General features: G+C 36.7%; 1 protein-coding gene and 1 long non-coding RNA gene across 12 annotated transcripts in view; one reads left to right on the forward strand and one right to left on the reverse strand.

The window, feature by feature from the left end:
- The window catches only part of AGBL4 (AGBL carboxypeptidase 4), a 1501444-nt gene that overhangs the window by 969402 nt on the left and 506269 nt on the right, over positions 1-25773 (reverse strand). The gene's annotated exons all lie outside the window — the stretch shown is intronic.
- LOC107984954 (uncharacterized) lies at positions 291-25649 on the forward strand. 2 transcript variants are annotated; one of them, XR_001738043.2, is made up of 3 exons: positions 307-374; positions 21762-21795; positions 22329-22360. It is a non-coding gene; the product is annotated as an uncharacterized LOC107984954 (long non-coding RNA). The 2 variants fall into 2 exon arrangements; XR_007066075.1 differs by lacking the exons at positions 21762-21795; positions 22329-22360 and adding an exon at positions 25541-25649 and having other exon boundaries at positions 291-374.

Raw genomic sequence — 25773 nt, forward strand, 5'->3', positions numbered from 1 at the left:
TACATATCTTTCATAAAGTTTAAATTATAAATTAGGCACAGTTTGAGATTAACAGCAATAACTAATAATAAAATAGAATAATTATAATAAACTGTAATGAAAGTGATGTGAATGTGGTCTCTCTCTCTCCCTCAAAATACTTTATTGTACTGCTCTCACATTTCTTGTTATGATGTGAGATGATACATGCCTACCTAATGAGATTAGGTGAGGTAAGTGGCATAGGCATTATGACATAACATTAGGCTATTATTGACCTTCTGATAACATGTCAGAAGGAGGATCATCTGCTTTGGGTGATCCTGGATCATAGAGCCATAGCAATATTGATGGTTGAATGTTTGGAGCAGACAATGTCAATGATTAACAGACAGGTTGTGTATATAGTGTGAATATGCTGGAAAAATGGGCTGATTGATGTTCTGGGCAGGACAGATGAGGGGCAGCTATTCAGAACAGCTTGAAATTTAAAACTTATGAATTGTTTACTTTTGAAATTTTCCACTTAATATTTCTAAACCCCACTTGACTGTGGGTAACTGAAACTGTGAAAAGCAAAACTGTTGATAAGGGGGGACTACTGTATTGCTTTCTAATCAAAACAGTTCCGAAATTCACCAAAGGACTTTATTGTGATTGCATCTGTGTTCCTTTTTACCACATATAGGTTTGGTCACTGTATTAATAGGACTATCAGATTTCAAGACCATATTTGTATGAGTGATAAGTGGGTAGAATATGGAAGCTTCCCCATGTAAGTACAGCTATTAAGACAGGCCTTCATCCCTCATGGGATCCAGGAGCTTTTCATCTCTATTTCCCGGCCAATTAGTTATGAATGAACTGTGGAAAGAAACAGCAGAGCCCTGGTGTCATGGAAGGTTAGAAGAGCAGATAACCTTTACTGAGCACTGTATTAGTCTGTTCTCATGCTGCTAATAAAGACATACCCAAGACTGGGTAATTGATAAAGGAAAGAGGTTTAAATGACTCACAATTGAGCATGACTGGGTAGGCCTCAGGAAACTCACAATCATGGTGGAAGGGGAAGCAAACATGTCCTTCTTCACATGGCAGCAGCAAGAAGAAGTGCCAAGCAAAAGAGAAAAAGCCCCTTATAACACCATCCGATCTCATGAGAACTCACTATTAGGAGAACAGCATGGAGGTAACTGTCCCCATGATTAAATTGCCTCCCACTGGGTCCTTCCCATGACACATGGGGATTATGGAAACTACAATTCAGGATGAGATTTGGGTGGGGACACAGGCAAACAATATCAAGCACTTACTAAGTATCAGGCTTTATACTAAGCACTTTGTATATGTTAATGCTTACTACAATTCCTTGAAATAGTTATTATAATACTTAGAATATGGAGCCAGGGTTCTGTCAGAAACAAGAGCAGATAATTTTTATTGAGCACTTACTAAGCAACAGGCTTTATACTAAAAACTAAAAACTTTATATACATTAATGTTCACTGCAATTCTTTGAAGTAGTTATTATTACAATATTTATAATGTATAGCCAGGATTCTGCCAGAAAGTGCCATTTCACTGACATCTGAAAGATGAGTGGGACAACAGACAAAAGGTATGTTTACAGGAGTAGTGAGAAAGCTTTTCAGGTAGAAGGAACAACATACACAATTCCCCAAGTCAAAAGGCAGCAGGACACATTCCAGGAAGTAAGAAGGCCAGGGTAACAGGAACCCAAGAGAAGGAGAGAACCATGTGAGAGGAAACTGAAATGTGGGCTGGGGTCCCTTCTCATAAGAACTTGTAGTCAAACCAATGTGCTTCCCAAATCTTAGTCACTGGGACATGTCTTCATGAGTTTTGAATTGTTTTTGTATCATTTTGACAAAAAATAAATCCTATTTTTTAAAATTAAATAAATTGTTCTCTCTAGTAAGTAAATAGAGTTTATTTAGAAAGTGTTAGGCTGCCATATCTCTTTTTTAAAGATCCAAGGAAAGGGGTTTGTATACATGCTACCACTGGCATTTTAAAAGGTGTGGGAGTAACAACATCCCTCTGATGGCAGCAAAGATCAGAGGAAGGGACTGGAAAGGTAAAGATAAGACTTTCGAAAACAGGGTCACCAGTCTAGCCCTGCTCCCTTCCCTCTAGAGCTTACTCTGTTCTAACCTCAGTTCTTACAGGACAGTTTAGGGTATATTTTAATTAAGGGAGTTAATTTTCTCATAACCCTTACCCAGTCTTAACAATTAAATTCACTGAAGCCCACATTAAACCCCCAGTGGTAAGAAACACAATAGGGTATATGAGCTATGACTTTTGACTCTGTGGGTCTGTTCTTGGCTTCATCATTAATATGGTGAATATCTTTGCCTTGAGTTTTTTTTTTTATTATACTTTAAGTTTTAGGGTACATGTGCACAATGTGCAGGTTAGTTACATATGTATACATGTGACATGCTGGTGCGCTGCACCCACTAACTCGTCATCTAGCATTAGGTATATCTCCCAATGCTATCCCTCCCCTCTCCCCGCACCCCACAACGTCCCCAGAGTGTGATGTTCCCCTTCCTATGTCCATGTGTTCTCATTGTTCAATTCCCACCTATGAGTGAGAATATGTGGTGTTTGGTTTTTTGTTCTTGCGATAGTTTACTGAGAATGATGATTTCCAATTTCATCCATGTCCCTACAAAGGACATGAACTCATCATTTTTTATGGCTGCATAGTATTCCATGGTGTATATGTGCCACATTTTCTTAATCCAGTCTAATACTGTTAGACATTTGGGTTGGTTCCAAGTCTTTGCTATTGTGAATAATGCCGCCATAAACATACGTGTGCATGTGTCTTTATAGCAGCATGATTTATAGTCCTTTGGGTATATACCCAGTAATGAGATGGCTGGGTCAAATGGTATTTCTAGTTCTAGATCCCTGAGGAATCGCCACACTGACTTCCCCAATGGTTGAACTAGTTTACAGTCCCACCAACAGTGTAAAAGTGTTCCTATTTCTCCACATCCTCTCCAGCACCTGTTTCCTGACTTTTAGTACAATTTTAATATACTTTAATTGTCATTTTTTGTGGTATGAATTGTCTTATTAAAATATAATTTTTAAGCAGTTAAATTTATTTACTTAATTAGAGTTCTATTGTCTCCTCAATATCCACATTCTCAGAAGCCAATTACATCTGCAAATGGGAGGAATATGGAGATGGAGAGAATATACGTTTTAGTACACTAACGTCTAATTATAGGATTGCATTGGTGCACATGGTACCTGGAATCATATAAAATTTTATCTAACAAAAAGAAATCCTGTGCTGATCTTTCAACACTAATATCTTACAACTAGCTTGTCCAACCTGTGGCCCGTGGGCCGCATGTGGCTCACAGTGGCCCTGAATGTGGCCCAATACAAATTTGTAAACTTTCTTAAAACATTATGAGTTTTTTGCTATTTTTCTTATAGCTCATCAGCTCTTGTTAGTGTTAGCATATTGTATGTGTGGCCCAAGACAATTATCCTTCCAACATGGCCCAGGGAATCCAAAAGATTAGACAGCCCTGTCTTAAAGCATGAATGTTAGCACAGACCATGTTCGTCTCTGCCTCATGTGTGGATTTTTGATTTCAGAAGGAACAAAAAAAAAAACCAGGTTTGGAGAACCTGATGTGACTATTTTGATTAGTGATAAAGTATAAAAATTTCCAGAAATAACAATAACAATAGTAAAAATCATGACAACAATGTACAATAATAGGGGTCTTAATGGTTTTTAAATGCTTTTCATATAAACTTTTTCCTTTTATCTTCACATTGATTTAAAAAAAGGGGAGGTATTATTAGTACTTCATAAATAAAGAAATTAAGGATCAAAAATGTTCACATTTTGGGGAGTAAGTTGGAATGCCCACAAGGAATCAGAGGCAAATCTGATCAGACTACTTTTCCTGAACTTTCCCATTAGAAAAACTATGAGATCTTGGGAAGCCATTGGAATTCTCTATCCTTAATTTATTCATCTGTAAAATGGTCTACATTATAGGGTATGGACATAGAGGGATAGAAAAAGACACTGAATTTCACTGGAGGGAAGAATTAGTGTGGATAAAACAGGGCCTGTGCCTCCCACAGACACCTGTACACAGGATAAAGACTGCAGGCAAGGCCAAGACTCAGAAGATTGAATGGGCTATTCCAATGAGATCCTTAAGATATATCACAAAGAAGGCAGTGTGGTGGAGCACAAAATTACAAGCATACACATCAAACTAAGTCAGTCCTAAGAGATTACTAGCTCTGCTACTTGGCAGCCATTTAAAATGGAGTCTTTTTTTTCAATTATTTATTTTAATTGGCAAAAATATTGTATACAATTATCATGCATAATATGATTTTTTGAAATATGTATACATTGTGGAATGGCTAAAGTGAGCTAATTAACATACAAAGCCTCACGTACTTATTTTTGTGGTGAGAACACTTAAAATCTACTCAGTGATTTTAAAGAATACAATACATTGTTATTAACAATAGTCACCATGTTGCACAATAAATCTCTTGAATTTATTCCTCCTAACCGAAATTTTGTATCCTTTCACCAACATCTCACCCACCCCACCCCACCCCACCCAAGCCCCTAGTAACCACTATACTAACCTTCACTTCTATGAGTTGAATTTTTTTTAGATTCCACATAGAAGTAATATTATGCAGTATTTGTCTTTCTGTGCCTGTATTATTTCACTTAGCATTATGTCCTCAAGGTCCATCCATCTTGTCACAAATGACAGGATTTCCTTTTTTAAGGCTGAATAGTATTCCATTGTGTATGTATACCACATTTTCTTTATTCATTCATCGGCTGATAGATACTTATGTTGATTCTATATCTTGAATATTGTGAAAAATGCTGCAGTAAATATGGGAGTGCAGATATCTCCCCAACATGTTGATTTCATTTCCTTTGGATATATACCCAGTAGTTGGATTGCTGGATCATATAGTAATTCTAGTTTTAATTTTTTGAGAAACATTCTTACTGTTTTCAATAATGGCCATACTATCATACATTCCCACCAACAGTATGCAAATGTTCCCTTTTCTCCATATCATGGTTGCCACCACCTGTCATCTTTTGTCTTTGTGGTAATAGTCACTCCAACAGGTGTAAGGTGATATTTCATTGTGGTTTTAATATGCATGTCCCCAATTTTTAGTGAGGTTGAACATTTTTTATATGCCTGTTGGCCATTTGTATGTCTTCTTTTGAGAAATGTCTAATAGTACCTTTGCCCATTTTTAAAAATAGGGTTATTTGTTTTCTTGCTATTGAGTTCCTTACATATTTTGAATATTAACCCCTTATCAGATGTAAAGGTTGAAGATATTTTCTCCCATTCCATAGGTTGTCTCTTCACTTTATTGATTGTTTTCTTTGCAGTGCTGAAGCTTTTAATTTTGACGTAATTACATTTGTTTATTTTCAATTTTGATGCCTGTGTTTTGGGGTCATATCCAAAAAATCCTTGCCCAGACATGGAGCCAGTCATAAAACCAGTGTCATGAAGCTTTTCCCCTATATTTTCTTCTAGCAGCTTTAAAATTTCAAGTCGTATATTTAAGTTTCTAATTCATTTTGAGTTTATTTTTGTACATGATGTGAGATAAAGTCTATTTTCATTCTTCTATATGTGGATATCCAGTTTTCCCAATACCATTTATTGAAGAGACTGTCCTTTACTCACTGTGTGTTTTGGGCACGTTCGTTGAAAATAAATTGACCATAGATATGTGGGTTTATTTCTGGGTTCACTCTCTATTTTCTTGGTCAATGTGTCTATTTCCATGCCAGTGCCATGCTGTTTTCATTACTATAACACATTTTAAAATCATGTAGTGTGATGCCCCCAGCTGTTCTTTTTGCTCAAGGTTGTTTTGGCTATTTCAAGTCTTCTGTAGTCCCACATGAATTTTAAAATTTGTTTTTTCAATTTCTGTGTAAAATGTCATTAGAATTTTTATATAAACTACATTGAATCTGCTTTTCATCTGGGGTAATATGGACATTTTTAACAATATTCCAATTTATGAACACGGTATGTCTTACCATCTATTTGTATTTTCCTCAATTTCTTTTGTCAGTGTTTTGTAATTTTCAGTGTACAGGCCTTTCATTTCCTTGGTTAAATTTATTCTTAAGTATTTCATTTTCTTTTTTGTAGATGTTGTAAAAGAGATTGTTTCTTGATTTATTTTTTGGATAGTTCATTAGTAAGTGTGTAGAAACTACTGATAATTGCATATTGACGTTGTATCCTGCAACTCTACTGAATTTGTTTATCAGACCTCACAGTTTTTTGTTAGACTCTTTATCATGTTTGTAGACTGTGTTATCTACACACAAAAACAATTTAGCTTCTCCCTTTCCTATATGAATGTCCTTTATTTCTTTCTCTTGCCTAATTGCTTGGACTTCCAGTACTATGTTGAATAGAAGAGGCAAGAGTGAGATTATGCAGTATTTGTCTTTCTGTGCCTGGATTATTTCACTTAGCATAATGTCCTCCAGGTCCATCCAGGTTGTCACAAATTACAGAATTATCTTTTTAAAGGCTAATATAATATTCCGTTGTGTATATATACTACAGAGTTGGAGGACATTTTGCTAAGTGAAATAATCCAGGCACAGGGAAAAAAAATACTGCATAATCTGACTCCTATGTGTAATGTTGTTCCTGTTCTTAGAAAAAAAAAGCTTTCAATTATTCAGGGTTGAGCATGATGATAGAGGTGCATTGGTCATATATGGCCTTTACTGTATTGAAGTACATTCCTCTTATACCTAACTTGTTGATGGTGTTTATCATGAAAATACATTGAACTTTGTCAGATGCCTTTTCTTCAACTACTATCCTTCATTCAGTTAATGTGGTATTGTTGTACATCACGTTTATACATTTAAATTATGTTGAACCATCCTTACATTCCAGGGATAAATCCTACTTGATCATGGGTAATGATAACTTTCATGTGCTATTGAATTTAGGTTGCTAACATTTTGTTGAAAATTTTTACACCTATGTTCATCGAGGATATTGGCCTCTAATTTTCTTCTCTGACAGTGTCCTTGTATGGCTTTGGTTTCAGGGTTGTCCTGGCCTTGTAAAATGAGTATGGAACTATTCCCTCTTCTTCAATTTTTTGGGAGTCCTTAAAAAATTGATATTAATTCTTCTTTAAATGTGGTAGAATCAGCAATAAGACCATCAAGAGATGGGTTTTCTTTTATGGGACACTTTCTATTACTCCTTCAATCTCCTTTCTCAACATTTGTGTGTTCAGATTTTCTATTTCTTCATGATTCATTCTTGGTAGGTTTTATGTGTCTTAAGAATTTATCCATTTCTCCTAAGTTATCCAATTTGTTGGTATATAATTACAAATAAAATCCTTTTATTATTATTATTATTTCAATAGTTTTTGGGGAACAAGTGGTGTATGGTTACAAGAATAAGTTCCTTAATGGTGATTTCTAAAATGTTGGTGCACCCACCACCCAAGAAGTGTACGTGGCACCCAAAGTGAAGTCTTTTATCACTCACCCCCTTCCAGCCTCCCCCCAAGTCCCCAGAGTCCATTACATCATTCTTATGCTTTTGTTTCCTCATACCTTAGTTCCCACTTATAAGTGAGAACATATGATATCTGGTTTTCCATTATTTAGTTACTTCACTTAGAATAATGGTCTCCAATTCCATACAAGTTGTTGTGAATGCCATCATTTTGTTCCTTTTCATGGCTGAATGGTATTCATATATATATATATATATATACACACATATGCACATATCACATTTTTTTATCCTTGTTTGTTGATGGGCATTTAGGCTGGTTACATATTTTGGCAATTGAGAATTGTGCTGCTGTAAACATGCATGTGCAAGTGTCTATCATATAGTGACTCCTCTGGGTAGGTAACCCAGTAGTGGGATTGCTGGATGAAATGGTAGATCTACTTTTCATTCTTTAAAGAATCCCCACACTGTTTTCCATACTGATTGTACTAGTTTACATTCCCAATGGCAATGTAAAAGTGTTCCCTTTTCACCACATCCACGTCAACATCTATTATTTTTTGATTTTTTAAATTATGGCTATGTTTGCAGGAGTAACTTGGTATTGCATTGTGGTTTTAATTAGCATTTTCCTGATTATTAGTGATGGTGAGCATTTTTTCATATGTTTGTTAGCCATTTGTATATCTTCTTTTGAGAATTGTCTATTCATGTCCTTAGCCCACTTTTTGATGGGATTATTTGTTTTCTTCTTGCTGATTTGTTTGAGTTCCTTGTAGATTCTGGATATTAGTCCTTTGTTGGATGCATAGTTTGCAAACATTTTCTGCCACTCTGTGGGTTGTCTTTACTCTGCTGATTATTTATTTTGCTGTGCAGAAGCTTTTTATTTTTAGTTTAATTAGGTCCCATCTATTTATCTTTTTTTTTTTTGCATTTGCTTTTGGGTTTTTGTTCATGAACTCTGCCTAAGCCAATGTCAAGAAGAATTTTTCTGATGTTATCTTCTAGAATTTTTATAGTTTCACATCTTAGATTTAAGTTTTTGACTCACCTTGAGTTGGTTTTTGTATAAGGTGAGAGACGAGGATCAACTTTTATTCTTCTACACGTGTCTTGACAATTATCCTAGAACCCTTTGTTGAATAGAATGTCCTTTCCCCACTTTATGTTTTTATTCACTTTGTCAAAGATCAGTTGACTATAAGTATTTGTTTTATTTCTGGGTTCTCTATTCTGTTCCATTGGTCTATATGCCTGTTTTTATACCAGTACCATGCTGTTTTGGTAACTATTGCCTTGAGGTATAGTTTGAAGTAGAATAATGTGATGCCACCAGATTTGTTCTTTTTGCTTAGTCTTCCTTTGGAAAAGCGGGCTGTTTTTAATTCCATATGAATTTTAGGATTCAGTTATCTAGTTCTGTAAAAATGATGATGGTATTTTGATGAAAGGTGCACTGAATTTGCACACTGCTTTTGCCAGTATGATCATTTTCACAATATTAATTCTATCCATCCACGAGCATGAAATGTATTTGTTTGTATAGTCTATAATTTCTTTCAGCAGTGTTTTGTAGTTTTCCTTGTAGAGATCTTTCACCTTCTTGATTAGGTATATTGCTAAGTGTATTTTTTGTTTTTGTTTTTGTTTTATGTCATGGTTCTAAAAGGGGTTGAGTTCTTCATTTGATTCTCAACTTGGTCACTGTTGGGGTATAGCAGTGTTACTGATTTTGCAGCAGCAAACTCTTTCAATGAGTTCTTTCAAATGATCTCTGAATCCTTTTGGTTTTCCTGGTATGTTCCTGAAAGAATTATGGTTTTACTCCAAAAGAATTTCCTTTGCTCTGGCTGGTGGTTATTGGAGTGAAGGCTCACAAGGTGAGTCTCCACACGCTGTTCTGTCCATCCAAGTTGGAGCTACACGTTAGTCCTGTCTCCTATCTGCCATCTTCCTCCTGCCAATAACAGTCTTTTGTGATCCTCTGCATTTCTGTGGTATCAGTGGTAATGTCTTTTCTTTCATTTATAATTTTATTTGAGTCTTCTCCCTTTTTTTCTTAGTCTACCTGAAGATTTGTCCATTTTTATTTATCTTTTCAAAAAACCAACTCAGTTTCATTGATTTATTATTTTTTCTAGTCTGTGTTTCACTTATTTATATTTTTATCTTTATTATTTCCTTCCTTTTCTAGTTCCTTGAGGTGTAATATTAGGTGTTTATTTGAGATTTTTCTTATTTTTTAATGTAGAATTTTATTACTATAAACTTCTCTCAGAACTGCTTTTGCTACATTCCCATAAATTTTGATATGTTGAGTTTTCATTTTTATTTGTCTCAAGATATAGTTTAATGTCTCTTTTAATTTCTTTATTGAATCATTGCTTGTTAAGCAGCATATTGTTTATTTTCCATGTATTTGTCAATTTTCCAAAATTTCTCCTGTTATTGACATCCAGTTTCATACCATTGTGGTCAGAAAAGATACTTGACATAATTTCAATCTTCTTAAATTTGTTAAGACTTGTTTTGTAACCTCACATATTATATATCCTGAAGAATATTTTGTGTCATTTTGAGAAGAATATGTGTTCTGCTGCTGTTGGGTGGGATGTTCTCTTTACATCTGTGTAATGGTTAATATTAGCTGTCAACTTGATTGGATTGAAGGAAGCAAAGTTTCTAGTTGTGTCTGTGAGGGTGTTGGCCTTTGGCCACAGACTGGAGGCTGCACTGTTGGCTTTCCTACTTTTGAGGTTTTGGGACTTGGACTGGCTTCCTTTCTCCTCAGCTTGCAGAGAGTCTATTGTGGTAGTTCACATTGTGATTGTGTGAGTCAGTACTCCTTAATAAACTCCTCTTCATATATTCATCTATCCTATTAGTTCTGCCCTTCTAGAGAACCCTCACAAATACAGATTTTGCTACCAGAAGTGGGGTGCTGCTGTAAAGATATCTGAAAATGTGGAAGTGATTTTGGAACTCAAAAACAGGCAGAAGTTGAAAGAGTTTGGAGGGCTCAGAAGACAAAAAATTGGGGGAAATTTTGAAACTTCCTAGAGACTTGGAGGGCTAAGAAGAAAAAATGATGTGGAAAAGTTTGGAACTTCCTAGAGAATTGTTGAATGGTTTTAATGAAAATGCTGATAGAAATATGGACAATGAAGTCCAGACTGATGTGGATTCAGGTGGAGATGAGGAAGTAATTGGGAAGAGGAATAAAGGTGACTCTTGCTATGCTTTAGTAAAGAGACTGATGGTATTTTACCCCTGCCCTAGAGAATCTGTGGAACTTTGAACTTAGGAGAGATGATTTAGGATATCTGGTGGAAGAAATTTCTAAGCAGCAAAGCACTCAAGAGGTGACAGAGCATAAAAATTTGGAAAATTTGCAGCCTGACAATGCTATTGAAAATAAAAACCATTTTCTGGAGTGAAATTCAAGCTGGCTGCAGAAATTTGCATGAGTAATGATGAGCCAAATATTAATCAGCAAGACAATGGGAAAAATGCTTCCAGGGCATGTCACAGACCTTCCTGAGGGCCCCTACCATCACAGACCCAGGGGCCAAGGAGGGAAAAAATGGTGTCTTGGGCTGGTTCCAGGGCCCCTTTGCTGTGTGCAGCCTTGGGACTTGGTGCCCTGTGTCCCAGCCACTCCAGCCATGGCTAAAGGAGGCCAAGGTACAGTCCAGGCTGTATCTTCAGAGGGTACAAGCCCCCAGCCTTAGTAACTTCCATGTGGTGTTTTTCCTGTGGGTCCACAGAATACAAGAACTGAGGTTTGGGAACCTTCACCTAGATTTCAGAGGATGTATGCAAACACCTGGATGTCCAGGCAAAGGTGTGCTTCAGGGGCAGAGCCCTCATGAAGAACTACTGCTAGGGCAGTGCAGAAGGGAAATATGGGGTTGGAGCCCCCACACAGAGTCCTCAATGGGGCACTGCCTAGTGGAACTGTGAGAAGGTGGCCACTGTCCTCTGGACCCCACAATGGTAGATCCATTGACAGCTTGCTCTGTGCACCTGGAAAAGCCACAGGTACTCAACACCAGTCTGTGAAAGCAGCCAGGATGGATGCTGTACCCTGCAAAGCCACAGGGGCAGAGCTGCCCAAAGCTGTGGGAGCCCACCTCTTGAATCAGGTGACCTGGATGTGAGACATGGAGTCAAAGAAGATCATTTTGGAGCTTTAAGGTTTACTTACTGCCCTATTGTATTTTGGACTTGCATGGGGCCTATGGCCCTTTTGTTTAGGCCAATTTCTCTCATTTGGAGTGGGTATATTTACCTAATGCCTGTACCCCCATTGTACTTAGGAAGTACCTAATTTGCTTTTGGTGGCTCATAATTGGAAGGGACTTACCTTGTCTCAGATGAGACTTTGGACTTGGACTTTTGGTTTAATGCTGGAATGCATGAAGACTTTGGTAGACTGTTGGAAAGGCATGATTGTGTTTTGAAACATGAGGACATGAGATTTGGGAAGGGCTGGGACAAAATGATATGATTTGTCTGTGTCCCCACTCAAAGTCTCATTACAAATGAATTGTAATTCTCATAATCCCCACAAATCAAGGGTGGGACAAGGTGGAGATAATTGAATTATGGGGGCGGTTTCCCCCATGCTGTTCTGGTGATAGTGAGTGTGTCTCATGAGAGCTGATAGTTTTATAATCATTGGCATCTCTCCTGCTTGCACTCACTTCGTCCTTTCACCCTATGTAGAAGGAGCCTTCTTCTTCGCCTTCTGCCATGATTGTAAGTTTTCTGAGGCCTCCCCAGTAATGCAGAACTGTGAGTCAATTAAACCTCTTTCCTTTCTAAATTACCCAGTCTCAGAGGTATTTCTCCACAGCAGTGTGAGAATGGACTAATAGTCTGTTACACACATTTGATCTTAAGTATAGTTTTATTCCAATGTTTTCATATTAATTTTTTCTCTGGATGATGATTTGTCCACTGCTGAAAGTGTGATCAATTTATATCTCCCTTCAGATCTAGTAATATTTGCTATATTTATTTAGATGCTCCAATTTTGGGGTGCATATATATTTACAATTGTTATATTCACTTGATGAGTTTACCCCTCTCTCATTACATAATGTCTTCTTTGTCTATTTTTATAGTTTTGAACTTAAAGTCTATTTTATATGATTAAAAATACAGCTACCCTTACTCTCTTTTGGTTTCCATTTGCATGGCATATCTTTTTTCATCCCTTCACTTTCAGTGTATCTGTGTCCTTAATGTGAGGTGAATCTCTTATAGGCAGAATATACTTGGGTCTTGCTTTCATTTATCTATTCCAGCATGCTATGGCTTTTGATTGGAGAATCTAATCCATTTACATTCAAGGTAATTATTGATAGGTAAGGACTTACTACCACCATTTTTGTTGTTTTATTATTATTATTTTTTAGATCCTTTGTTTCTTTATTTCTCTCTTACTGTCTTCCCTGTGATTAAATGATTTTCTGTAGTGGTATGCTTTGATTCTTTGCTTTTTTATCTTTTGTGTACCTACTATAGGTTTTTGCTTTCTGGTTACTATGAGGCTTACATAAAATGTTATACAGTAATAACAGGCTATTTTAGGCTGATAATTTAACTCTAGTCACATGAAATAACTACACTTTCACTCCAACTCCCATTTTATGTTTTTGATTTCACACTTTACATCTTTTTATAATATATATCCCTTAAAAAGTATTGTAGCTATTGTTTTTACTAGTTTTGTCTTTTAACCTTAATCCTAAAGATATAAGTGACTTAGAAACCACTATTACAGTATTTTAGTATTCTGAATTTGATTGTGAAGTTACTTTAACCAGTGAGTTTTATATTCTCATATGTTTTTGTGTCACTAATTAGTGTCTTTTTTTTTTCAACTTTAAGAACTCCCTTTAGCATTTCTTACAAGTCTGGTGACAGTGAACTCCCTCAGCTGTTGTTTGTCTAGGAAAGTGTTTATCTCTCTTTCATTTCTGAAGGATAGCTTTGTCAGGTTCATTAGTTTTAGCTGTCAGGTTTTTTTGTCCTTCAGACCTTTGAATATATCATCCTACTCTTTTCTGGTATGTAGAGTTTCTGCCTCTAGCATTACTGGAACTCCCTTCCCTGGAACTCTCTTCCATGTGATTTGCTTCTTTTCTCTTGCTGTTTTCAGGATTCTCTTTTGTCTTTGATTTTTCACAGTCTGATTTAATATGTCTTGATGTAGTCTTGTTTGGATTGAGTCTGCTTGTAGACTTTTTTCTTTTCTGTATCTGGATATATATACATCTTTCCCTGGATTTGGAATATTTTCTGTTATTATTTCTTTAAATAAGCTTTCTATCCTTTAGTCTCTCTCTTCTTAATTCCTATACCATGTACATTTGCTCTGTTGAAGCTGTTCTATAATTCCCGTAAACTTTCCTTTTTCTTTTTTCTCCTCTATATATTTTCAAATAATCTGTCTTCAGGTTTACAGATTCTTCTAATTGATCATTTCTGGTGTTGATACTCTCTATTGCATTTTTCATTTCACTCATTGTATTTTTCAATTGATCCTCATTTCCTTATCTAAAAATTGGGATAATATTGTATCTCTCTCAGGGAAACAATAAGAAAAAGCTGATTTAGTGTATGTGTAACATCTATTAGAGGGGTCAGCGAACTTTTTGTATAAAGGGCTATATAGCACATATTTTAAGCTTTCTGGGCTAGGCAGCAAACCAAGGATGTTATTTAGGTACTGATATAACAAGAAAGAAAAAAATTTTACAAAAATTTTTCACAAAATCTTTTACACAAATTTTTATTAGAAAAATGTAACATATAATAATAGCAAATTAACTTTTGTTTTTGTTAATACATGTTGATATGGTTTGGCTATGTCCCCACCTGAGCCTCATCTTGAATTGTAGCTCTTGTAATTCCCACATGTTGTGGGAGGGACCCAGTGGGCGGTACTTGAATCATGGGGGTGGGTCTTTCTTGTGCTGTTCTCATGATAGTGAATCAGTCTCATGAGATCTGTTGGTTTTATAAAGGGGAGTTCCCCTGAATATGCTCTTTTTGCCTACCAGTATGTAAGACATGACTTTACTCCTCCTTTGCCTTCTGCCATGATTCTGAGGCATCCACAGCCATGTGGAACTGAGTCAATTAAACCTCTTTTCTTTATAAATTACCCAGTCTTGGGTATGTCTTTATTACCTGTGTAAGAGTGGACTAATACACATTTCTAGTAATTAAAAGAATGGAATATGGTGGGAAATAATAGTTTACTTAATTGGGGAATCAAAGTCAATGTTGCCTATCAGCAAATTGGTTGCAAAGCCCATCTATAAAAACATTTTTATTCACAGGCCATACAAAAACAGATAAGCTGGGCTGGACCTGAGGGCTATAGTGTGCCAATCTCTGGTGTATTTCATTGATGGTTCCCAATGAACCATACCTCCCCATATTCACACCCTTATGTACTCCTCTCCCTTTGAATTTGGGCTGGATCTGAAATGGCCTTTTAATTAACAGAATGCAACAGAAATGATGCTGAATCAGCTGAAGACCTGTCTCAAGAAGATGTGGCAGCTTCCATTCTGCATTCTTGGGTGTCCTAAACCACCCTGTAAAAAGTCCAGCTATCCTGCTAGAGAGATCATATAGAAAAGCCACATTAAGAGGGAGAAACCCAGAGACAACTGGGAGAGAGAATGAATCTTAGCCATACCAGCATCCCAGCTGAGCCTATTTCTCAACCATTAGCTAGGACCAATTACCAGCCATATGGGTGAACCATATTGATATTCCAGTCCTGGCTATATCTGAGACACTACCACAGCCACAAGAGAGAGCCAAATTGGGACCAAAAGAACGGTCCAGCTGAACCTAGTCAATCTCATGAACAGACTCATGAGAGACAGTAAAAGCTAATATATTTACCAACTTACACTCCTGTTAGAAATCTGTGATAGTTCTATAGTTTTGCATCCTTGCTAACAGTATTTTCAGTTTTTAATTTTTTTTTTATTCTGGTGAATGTGTGAAGTTGAACACTTTTCAATTACTCCTTCCCCAGTCATCAAGACTCAAATAAAATTTTTCCTAAACCTAGAGTTGGAAGCTGCAGGTTATTCAATTGAGAACTTGGGTGCTTCTTGGAGGAAAAAATAATTATTGATAAATGTTTTTAAGTTCTTGCATTAAATATTTTATTTCTTAAAAGGAGTGTCTTATTATTAGGTATGAATTTAATAACTCTCACAGCTAGTAATGATTTTAAGAATAAATATGAGATAGATTACAAGGATTCATAATTTTATTACTTCACTGGTTTATGCAAACAACCCAAGAGCTGGGAAATATGATTTTCAGAGTGGTCCTACCACTCTGAAACTTAAGCAACTTGCTTAAGTTGCTCTTAAGGAAGACATTTTTCTTCTTGATTTTGACTTAGTAATACATCAAATGAGACTGATAATAGCATTTGCAATCTCACATAATTGTTCAATCAACAAATATTTTCTGAGTACCTATTATGGGCAGGTACTGGGGATACAATGGTAAGCAAAAATAAACATAGCCTCTAGTTCATGAAGTTTATACTCTAGTGTAAACACTAATCCAAGATTAAACAATCAATATTTTAATACATAATAGTTTCATGTATAATTATTAACTAACAAATAGACTGTAAAGTTAAGTTAGAGCATCAGAACCTCATAATTAAGAGTTACCTTACAGATTATCTATTACAATCCTCCAATCTCTTTTTCAAAGATAAACAAAATATTAAAGGATGGTTTTTGAAAAGTTAAAAGTTCCAGATAAATGAGAAGTGCCAACATTACTGTTATGTAATTTCAGAAAGATAACTAGATACACTTATGTTCCAGCATTAAAAATTAGAAATAAAACAGCTTAAACCCAGTATCTTTGACCTTCAATGTGGCCCATAGTAGAAAAATTAATAGTGAAATTTCATTAACCAAAATAAAGTAGGCTCTGACTGTGAAAGTGATGGACTGAGGGCCCACGCAGAGGACAAAAAGTTCAGAAGAGAAATAAATTTTATTGACCCACAATGAGAGAGACATCCAGGTCTCTTAGAAAAGTAATATGTTTAGAGCTGGCTTGGAACTCTGACCTAGTTTGGCTAGATATTCATGGGTTTAAATCCCTGCAACCTTCTATGCAACCTTAGGCAAATTACTTATCCTCTTAGACCTAAGTTTCTTAATTTCATCCGTAAAATGAAAATAATCATGACCATCTCACATGATTATTGTGAACATTAAGAAAAATGAGGTATATAAAGCATCAGGCATGGCTAATAGTTTCCTTCTTTTCTCCTGACTGTGGGGATTATAGCATTGATTACAGGCAATCTCAAATTTGTGATATGACTCAATACAGCAATTACCATATGCCCAAACTCAATTCATCCAATAAGACATGAGAATGATACAGAGAAGAAAAACATGATCCCTGCTTAAAGTACTTATCATCTAGTAGGGAACATGGATAAGATACCCAAACACCCCAAACACAAAGCCAACTATGATATTATAATACATACCTGAAGTGTGGCATACCAAACTGTGTTAGTATTCAAATGGGAGAAGACACTTCAGGATGAGGTGGGGGCAGGGAGGATCAAAGAAAGCTTCCTAGAGAGGTTGCCCTTGAAAGAGGCTTGAACGACGGATTAGATTTTGGCAGCCAGAGATACAAGGAGAAGATTCAAGGTGGAGAGGAAACACACACAAAGGCAAAGAGATAGGAAAGTGTATGGCAGATTAGGTTAAGCAGAGGATAACCAATTATTTTTTAAGTAATATTGAGTGTCTCCATATGTCAGGGCCTGTATTGAGTATTTACATGCATTATTTTATTTACCTGTGGAGGTGTTTTATTTTCCTCAACTTTTAGATACTTGGAAAGGTAAATAATCTTGCCAAATATTTTTTACAGCTATTTAATCGGAGACCTGGGTTATAAAAACATGTGTCTCTTATTCCAAAGACCACTCTTTATAACTAATGAGTAGTGAGAAATGCAGCTAGAAATAAGGACACCAGGGAGGCCTCTAAATACCAAGGTGAAAAGTTTGCATTTTGAATTAAAAACCAAATAGGGAGTCATTGGAGGTTTCTAAGCAGGAATATGACATGGATAAAGATTATATTACATAATGTTTAAGAGCTTAGAATTCATAGCTAAACTGCCTTAAATTGAATCTCAATTTTTCTGCTTACAACCTTTATGGCCTTGGAGCAAGTTACCAAATTTTTCTGTCCCTTAGTTTCCTCATCCATAAAATAGGGGTAACAATATTACCTCCCACAATGTTGTGGGAAAAATAAAGTCCATTAATATATATGAAATACTAGAATTCCTGGCTTACAGTGAACACACACTAAATATTAGGTGCTGCTGCTGCTATTCCTTTAGGAAGAAAACTACTGAACTCTTGTATCTCAATCTGACAATTCAGCCTTTTATTCAAGGATGAGCAAAAGGCTAATTGTACATTGTCAGTGAAGGCAAGGCTTGCTTTGTGAGTTAATAAGAATCCAGGAGGAATGTTTAATATAATTAAGAGGGTAAGTAGCTCAGGACATTCTCCCCATAGCATCATCCTCTAGTTCCTCTCCATAATGATAAATAGAAATTGAAGCTCCTGACTTCCACAATGGTTGAACTAGTTTACAGTCCCACCAACAGTGTAAAAGTGTTCCTATTTCTCCACATCCTCTCCAGCACCTGTTGTTTCCTGACTTTTTAATGATTGCCATTCTAACTGGTGTGAGATGGTACCTCATTGTGGTTTTGATTTGCATTTCTCTGATGGCCAGTGATGGTGAGCATTTTTTCATGTGTTTTTTGGCTGCATAAATGTCTTCTTTTGAGAAGTGTCTGTTCATGTCCTTTGCCCACTTTTTGATGGGGTTGTTTGTTTTTTTCTTGTAAATTTGTTTGAGTTCATTGTAGATTCTGGATATTAGCCCTTTGTCAGATGAGTAGGTTGCAAAAATTTTCTCCCATGTTGTAGGTTGCCTGTTCACTCTGATGGTAGTTTCTTTTGCTGTGCAGAAGCTCTTTAGTTTAATTAGATCCCATTTGTCAATTTTGTCTTTGGTTGCCATTGCTTTTGGTGTTTTGGACATGAAGTCCTTGCCCATGCCTATGTCCTGAATGGTAATGCCTAGGTTTTCTTCTAGGGTTTTTATGGTTTTAGGTCTAATGTTTAAGTCTTTAATCCAACTTGAATTGATTTTTGTATAAGGTGTAAGGAAGGGATCCAGTTTCAGCTTTCTACATATGGCTAGCCAGTTTTCCCAGCACCATTTATTAAATAGGGAATCCTTTCCCCATTGCTTGTTTTTCTCAGGTTTGTCAAAGATCAGATAGTTGTAGATATGCGGCGTTATTTCTGAGGGCTCTGTTCTGTTCCATTGATCTATATCTCTGTTTTGGTACCAGTACCATGCTGTTTTGGTTACTGTAGCCTTGTAGTATAGTTTGAAGTCAGGTAGTGTGATGCCTCCAGCTTTGTTCTTTTGGCTTAGGATTCCTCAGGGATCTAGAACTAGAAATACCATTTTACCCAGCCATCCCATTACTGGGTATATACCCAAAGGACTATAAATCATGCTGCTATAAAGACACACACACACGTATGTTTATTGCAGCATTATTCACAATAGCAAAGACTTGGAACCAAGCCAAATGTCCAACAATGATAGACTGGATTAAGAAAATGTGGCACATATACACCATGGAATACTATGCAGCCATAAAAAATGATGAGTTCATGTCCTTTGTAGGGACACGGATGAAATTGGAAATCATCATTCTCAGTAAACTATCGCAAGAACAAAAAACCAAACACTACATATTCTCACTCATAGGTGGGAATTGAACAATGAGATCACATGGACACAGGAAGGGGAACATCACACTCTGGGGACTGTTGTGGGGTGGGGGGAGGGGGGAGGGATAGCATTGGGAGATATACCTAATGCTAGATGACGAGTTAGTGGGTGCAGCACACCAGCATGGCACATGTATATGTATGTAACTAACCTGCACAATGTGCACATGTACCCTAAAACTTAAAGTATAATTAAAAAAAATTTTTTTTTAAAAAAATTGAAGCTCCTTAGCTTGGCATTTTCTCCCCAATGCGTTTTATAATCTGCCTTCTTCTTGGGAGAAGAAGACTATGAAATGCAGTGGGGAGAAAATACCAAGTCAGAAGACTTGGATTCCAATCACAAACCTGCTACTGATTCATTCTGTTGGACAGAATGACCTCTCTTTTAACATTGTACATGGACAGTTGACTCTCCTTTTTAGTTTTGAAAAGTTAAAAGTTTCAGATAATTGAGAAGTGCCAACATTACTGTTAATGTAACTTCAGAAAGATAACTAGATGCACTTATATTCCAGCATTCTGAGTCCTCAACAGTAAATAAGGAATGATGCTTGCCCTCTGCATGGATCATCATGAGAATTAAATGAGATATAGGATATGTAAAATATCTTGGTTTGCAGGGTGCTATGTACATAGTAGGTATTCAAAACACTGTTGAATAAAGTTCTTATTCTATTCGAGAAGTGTCTTTAGACGTAAGAAAAAAGGTAAAGCAGATGGTGGAATATTTCTGCATTTCAGCCTTGGAGAAGATAAAAAGCTCTATATTGAAAATGTCCCTTAAAATGTGTAAGAAGAGGGTTGGTATAGTGGAAAGAGCCTGAGATTCAAAGTAAAGTGGAACTAGGATTAAATCCTACCTGCAATATTTATTAGCTATGAAATATTGAACCAGCTATTTGAGCATCTGCTTTTTCCAAATACAAAATTGAAATATTAATACTTGCCTCATAGGTTGGCTCAGATAATTAAATTAAACATTACTCCTGAACTGTAATCCCTAATGTTGGAGGTGGGGCCTGGTAGGAGATATTTGGATCATGGGGGCAGATCCTTCATGGCTTGGTGCTCTTCTCACAATAGTGAGTAAATTCTTACAAGATCTTGTTAAGTTTGTGGCATTTCCTGCCACCCCCCCTCTTTCCTACTTCACCATGTGACATACCTGCTCCCTCTTTGCCTTCTGCCGTGATTGGAAGCCTCCTGACACCCTCTCCAAACCCAGAAGCAGATACCATGATGCTTCTTGTACAGCCTGCAGAACCATGAGCCAATTAAACCCCTTTGCTTATTAATTACCCAGTCTCATGCATTTCTTTATAGCAATGCACAAACAGACTAACACAACTAATTATATAATTCTTTCCAGATATTACTGATGAGAAAACAGAGGCACAGGGCACACAATCTCACCCTAGATCACAGAGCTAGAAAGTGACCAAAAAAAAAGTAGAATAAAACTACATATATTTAACTCTCCTCCAAAAGTTGTACTCTTTTCAAAAATCTTGTAAAAAATTCCCAAGTACTTTCCCTCTGTTATCTCATTTTATCCTATTCTTGAAGAAACTCTATTATATAGACTGACCAGGAATAACTATCCCCATGTTACAAATGGGAAAAGAGAAACTTGAAGAAGATAAATGACTAATGTCAGACAAACAGCAGTCACACTTCAACCTCTGCCATGTGGCAGAACTGGAAAATGAACCTCTATCTTTAAACTCCAAGTTCAGTGTTCTTTCTAGTATAAATCTGAATTTCCCAAATACCATGCCAGAATGAATATTTCTCCTTAAATTCAGACTCCTCCGATATTAATCCAAATTAATAATGTTTTGCTGTGGCTATTTCTTTTTAAAATTTCCAACTTTTATTTTAGATACGGGGGTACATGTGCAGATTTGTTACATAGGAATATTGCATGATGCTGGGATTTGGAATATGGATCCTGTCACCATGGTAGTATTGCCTGATATGTAGTTTTTTAACCTATCCCACTCCCTCCACCCTCTAGGATTCCATAGTGTCTGTTGTTCCCATATTTCTATTCGTGTGTGCTCAGTGTTTAGCTCTAATTTATAAGTGAGAACATGTTTGGTTTTCTGTTCCTGCATTAATTTGCTTAGGATTATGGCCTCCAGCTCCATTCATGTTGCTTCAAAGGACATGATGATTGATTGTGAATGTTTTCTACTTTTACAACTTTTCCTATGTTTATAGAAAGACCTGTCCCAGAAACATTCCTTTCATTACAGATAAAGATATTTCAACTCAACAGTCTTCTTTATGGTAAGTGATTTATATTTTCTTCTTAATTTACAGGTGTTACTATAAATGACTATTTCAATTGCTTTTCAACTTTTCTTGCTGCGCTGGGTCAACTGACTGCTTGACTGACAAATTAATCAGTTAACAAAAATGGCCTGACCAGTTGCTGTTTGCCAGACACTGTGGTGGGCATAAGCAGGGTTGCTATATACAGTTATGCAGGGTCTTCCTTGCACAAGGACTCCATTTCATGGGCTAAGACTGGCCCCTAGGTATTTTATTCTCTTCGAAGCAATTGCGAATGGGAGTTCACTCATGATTTGGCTCTCTGTTTGTCTGTTATTGGTGTATAAGAATGCTTGTGATTTTTGTACATTGATTTTGTATCCTGAGACTTTGCTGAAGTTGCTTATCAGCTTAAGGAGATTTTGGGCTGAGACAATGGGGTTTTCTAGATAAACAATCATGTCATCTGCAAACAGGGACAATTTGACTTCCTCTTTTCCTAATTGAATACCCTTTATTTCCTTCTCCTGCCTGATTGCCCTGGCCAGAACTTCCAACACTGTGTTGAATAGGAGTGGTGACAGAGGGCATCCCTATCTTGTGCCAGTTTTCAAAGGGAATGCTTCCAACTTACAAGGGACGTGAAGGACCTCTTCGAGGAGAACTACAAACCACTGCTCAATGAAATAAAAGAGGATAGAGACAAATGGAAGAACATTCCATGCTCATGGGTAGGAAGAATCAATATCGTGAAAATGGCCATACTGCCCAAGGTAATTTATAGATTCAATGCCATCCCCATCAAGCTACCAATGACTTTCTTCACAGAATTGGAAAAAACTACTTTAAAGTTCATATGGAACCAAAAAAGAGCCTGCATCACCAAGTCAATCCGAAGCCAAAAGAACAAAGCTGGAGGCATCACGCTACCTGACTTCAAACTATACTACAAGGCTACGGTAACCAAAACAGCATGGTACTGGTACCAAAACAGAGATATAGATCAATGGAACACAACAGAGCCCTCAGAAATAATGCTGCATATCTACAACCATCTGATCTTTGACAAACCTGACAAAAACAAGCAATAGGGAAACGATTCCCAATTTAATAAATGGTGCTGGGAAAACTGGCTAGCCATATGTAGAAAGCTGAAACTGGATCCCTTCCTTACACCTTATACAAAAATTAATTCAAGATGGATTAAAGACTTAAATGTTAGACCTGAAACCATAAAAACCCTAGAAGAAAACCTAGGCAATACCATTCAGGACACAGGCATGGGCAAGGACTTCATGTCTAAAACACCAAAAGCAATGGCAACAAAAGACAAAATTGACAAATGGGATCTAATTAAACTAAAGAGCTTCTGCACAGCAAAAGAAATTACCATCAGACTGAACAGGCAACCTACAGAATGGGAGAAGATTTTTGCAATCTACTCATCTGACAAAGGGCTAATATCCAGAATCTACAATGAACTCAAAGAAATTTACAAGAAGAAAACAAACAACCCTATCAAAAAGTGGGCAAAGGATATGAACAGACACTTCTCAAAAGAAGATATTTATGCAGCCAAAAGACGCATGAAAAAATGCTCATCATCACTGGCCATCACAGAAATGCAAATCAAAACCACAATGAGATATCATCTCACACTAGTTAGAATGGACATCATTAAAAAGTCAGGAAACAACAGGTGCTGGAGAGGATGTGGAGAAATAGGAACACTTTTACACTGTTGGTGGGACTGTAAACTCATTCAACAATTGTGGAAGTTAGTGTGGCGATTCCTCAGGGATCTAGAACTAGAAATACCATTTGACCCAGCAATCCCATTACTGGGTATATACCCAAAGGATTATAAATCATGCTGCTATAAAGACACATGCACACATATGTTTATTGTGGCACTATTCACAATAGCAAAGACTTGGAACCAACCCAAATGTCCAACAATGATAGACTGGATTAAGAAAATGTGGCACATATACACCATGGAATACTATGCAGCCATGAAAAATGATGAGTTCATGTCCTCTGTAGGGACATGGATGAAGCTGGAAACCATCATTCTCAGCAAACTACCGCAAGGACAAAAAACCAAACACCACATATTCTCACTCATAGGTGGGAATTGAACAATGAGAACACATGGACACAGGAAGGGGAACATTACACACCGGGGCCTGTTGTGGGGTGGGGGGAGGGGGGAGGGATAGCATTAGGAGATATACCTAATGTTAAATGATGAGTTAATGGGTGCAGCACACCAACATGGCACATGTATACATCTGTAACTAACCTGCACGTTGTGCACATGTACCCTAAAACTTAAAGTATAATTTAAAAAAAAAAAAGAATCAAGACTGCCCCCCCCCACAAAAAAAAATGACTGGCCCAATGGAGGGGGTACTTTTTTCTAACTCACACAAAGATTCATTAGGAGCTAGCTCTAGCCCTGATGCTGGGATACAGAAATGGATATGACAGTGTCCTTATCTCCAAGGATCTCACAATATAATAGGGAACACAGGCAAATACACATGCAATTATACTATAGCATCACAAATGGTGTTATAAAGGAAAGTCCAAGGTGCCATGAGATCACATAAGAGGGACAACTAATTCAGCCTGGAAGATCAAGGGAGGTTCTCCAAAGAAGGTAACAACTAAACTGAGCCCAAATAAATAGATGTTAAAGAAATACTTGTAGATAAAAAAGAGGTGTGCTGTCTCCCACAGAAAGAGAACAATTTTAGCAAAGAAACAGAGGAAAGAAACATCATTGCATGTACAGCATTGCTGTGGGATAACATTTGAGGTTAAGTTTTAAGAGGCAAGGTGGGGAAAAGGAAAAGAAGAAATCAGGGACAGATACTGAAGGCTTTGCCAAACTAAGGAGTCTGTTTTTTATATGAGGTGGGTAATGGGTTGCCATTAAGAGAAATAAACCAGGAGAGGATATGTGATTAGATTTGCATTTTATAAAGATTCTTCTGACATGGGGATGGAGGAAGTGCTGTGTCTAGGACTTTCATATAACACCATTAGAGATGTTTCAAAGAATTATTTGTTAAGTAATCCAATTTAGATTTTCAAAGCAGAGAGGAAAAGTAATATCCTTAGAAATGTTCCTATGACTCTCACTCTGTTAGGCATACATGTCAAGTAGACAGACATTCCTATAAGTGATGCAAATCTCATTTCTGAATGATTTTATAAAGCTCAAGCTTGTTTCATATAATAAAAACGATAATCAAAACATAAATTTAAATATAATAGGCCATACTTCAACAGATTCCGTTTACATTATTCCTATACAAGGTATTATTTATGATGGTGCATGGACACCTAATCTCGATGTTGTGAAGGTGACCCAGGCTGGGTGGGGAAGGCAGCTGAGCCAGTGAAAGCATTTACACATCACCTCAAGTGTGTATCACAAAGCTCACCTTTGCATGAAGGGCAATTTGGACTGTGAAGAAGCAGAAGTCCAAATCAAGGACAATGAGAGTATTGAACTAATGTATCTAGTATCAAGACCCAAAGTCCATTCTTAAAGGAAAACATACTCCAAGAGGGGAAATTTATATGAATTCTAAAACTCTTTGAAGGTTGAGGACAAAAAAAAAATCAGTATTACCAGGGTAGAAATGGGTATTTCTCCTAGTATCAGTAGCATGGTCACAGCACATAATATATAAAAGAAGAATTTTCACTTGCCACCATAATGTCTTACTGTTTTTCTCATCCCAAGGTTTTTGCTGAAAGAATCAAGAGTTCAGTGACAGAAGAATGAGGGTCAGAGAAGCATGAAGACAAAGGAGAATGAGGGTCATTTATTCAATAAACATTTGTAACACTCATACTATAAGCCAGGCACTATGCTAGGAGCGTTCAGAAGTACTGTCTCACTTAATAAAGCACTACTACCTCCATTTTGCAGATAATAAAACTGAGGCAAGTATACTTAAGACTAGATGAAAAGTC

Source organism: Homo sapiens, chromosome 1 (assembly GCF_000001405.40).
Source record: "Homo sapiens chromosome 1, GRCh38.p14 Primary Assembly".
NCBI classification, from domain to species: Eukaryota; Metazoa; Chordata; class Mammalia; order Primates; family Hominidae; genus Homo; species Homo sapiens.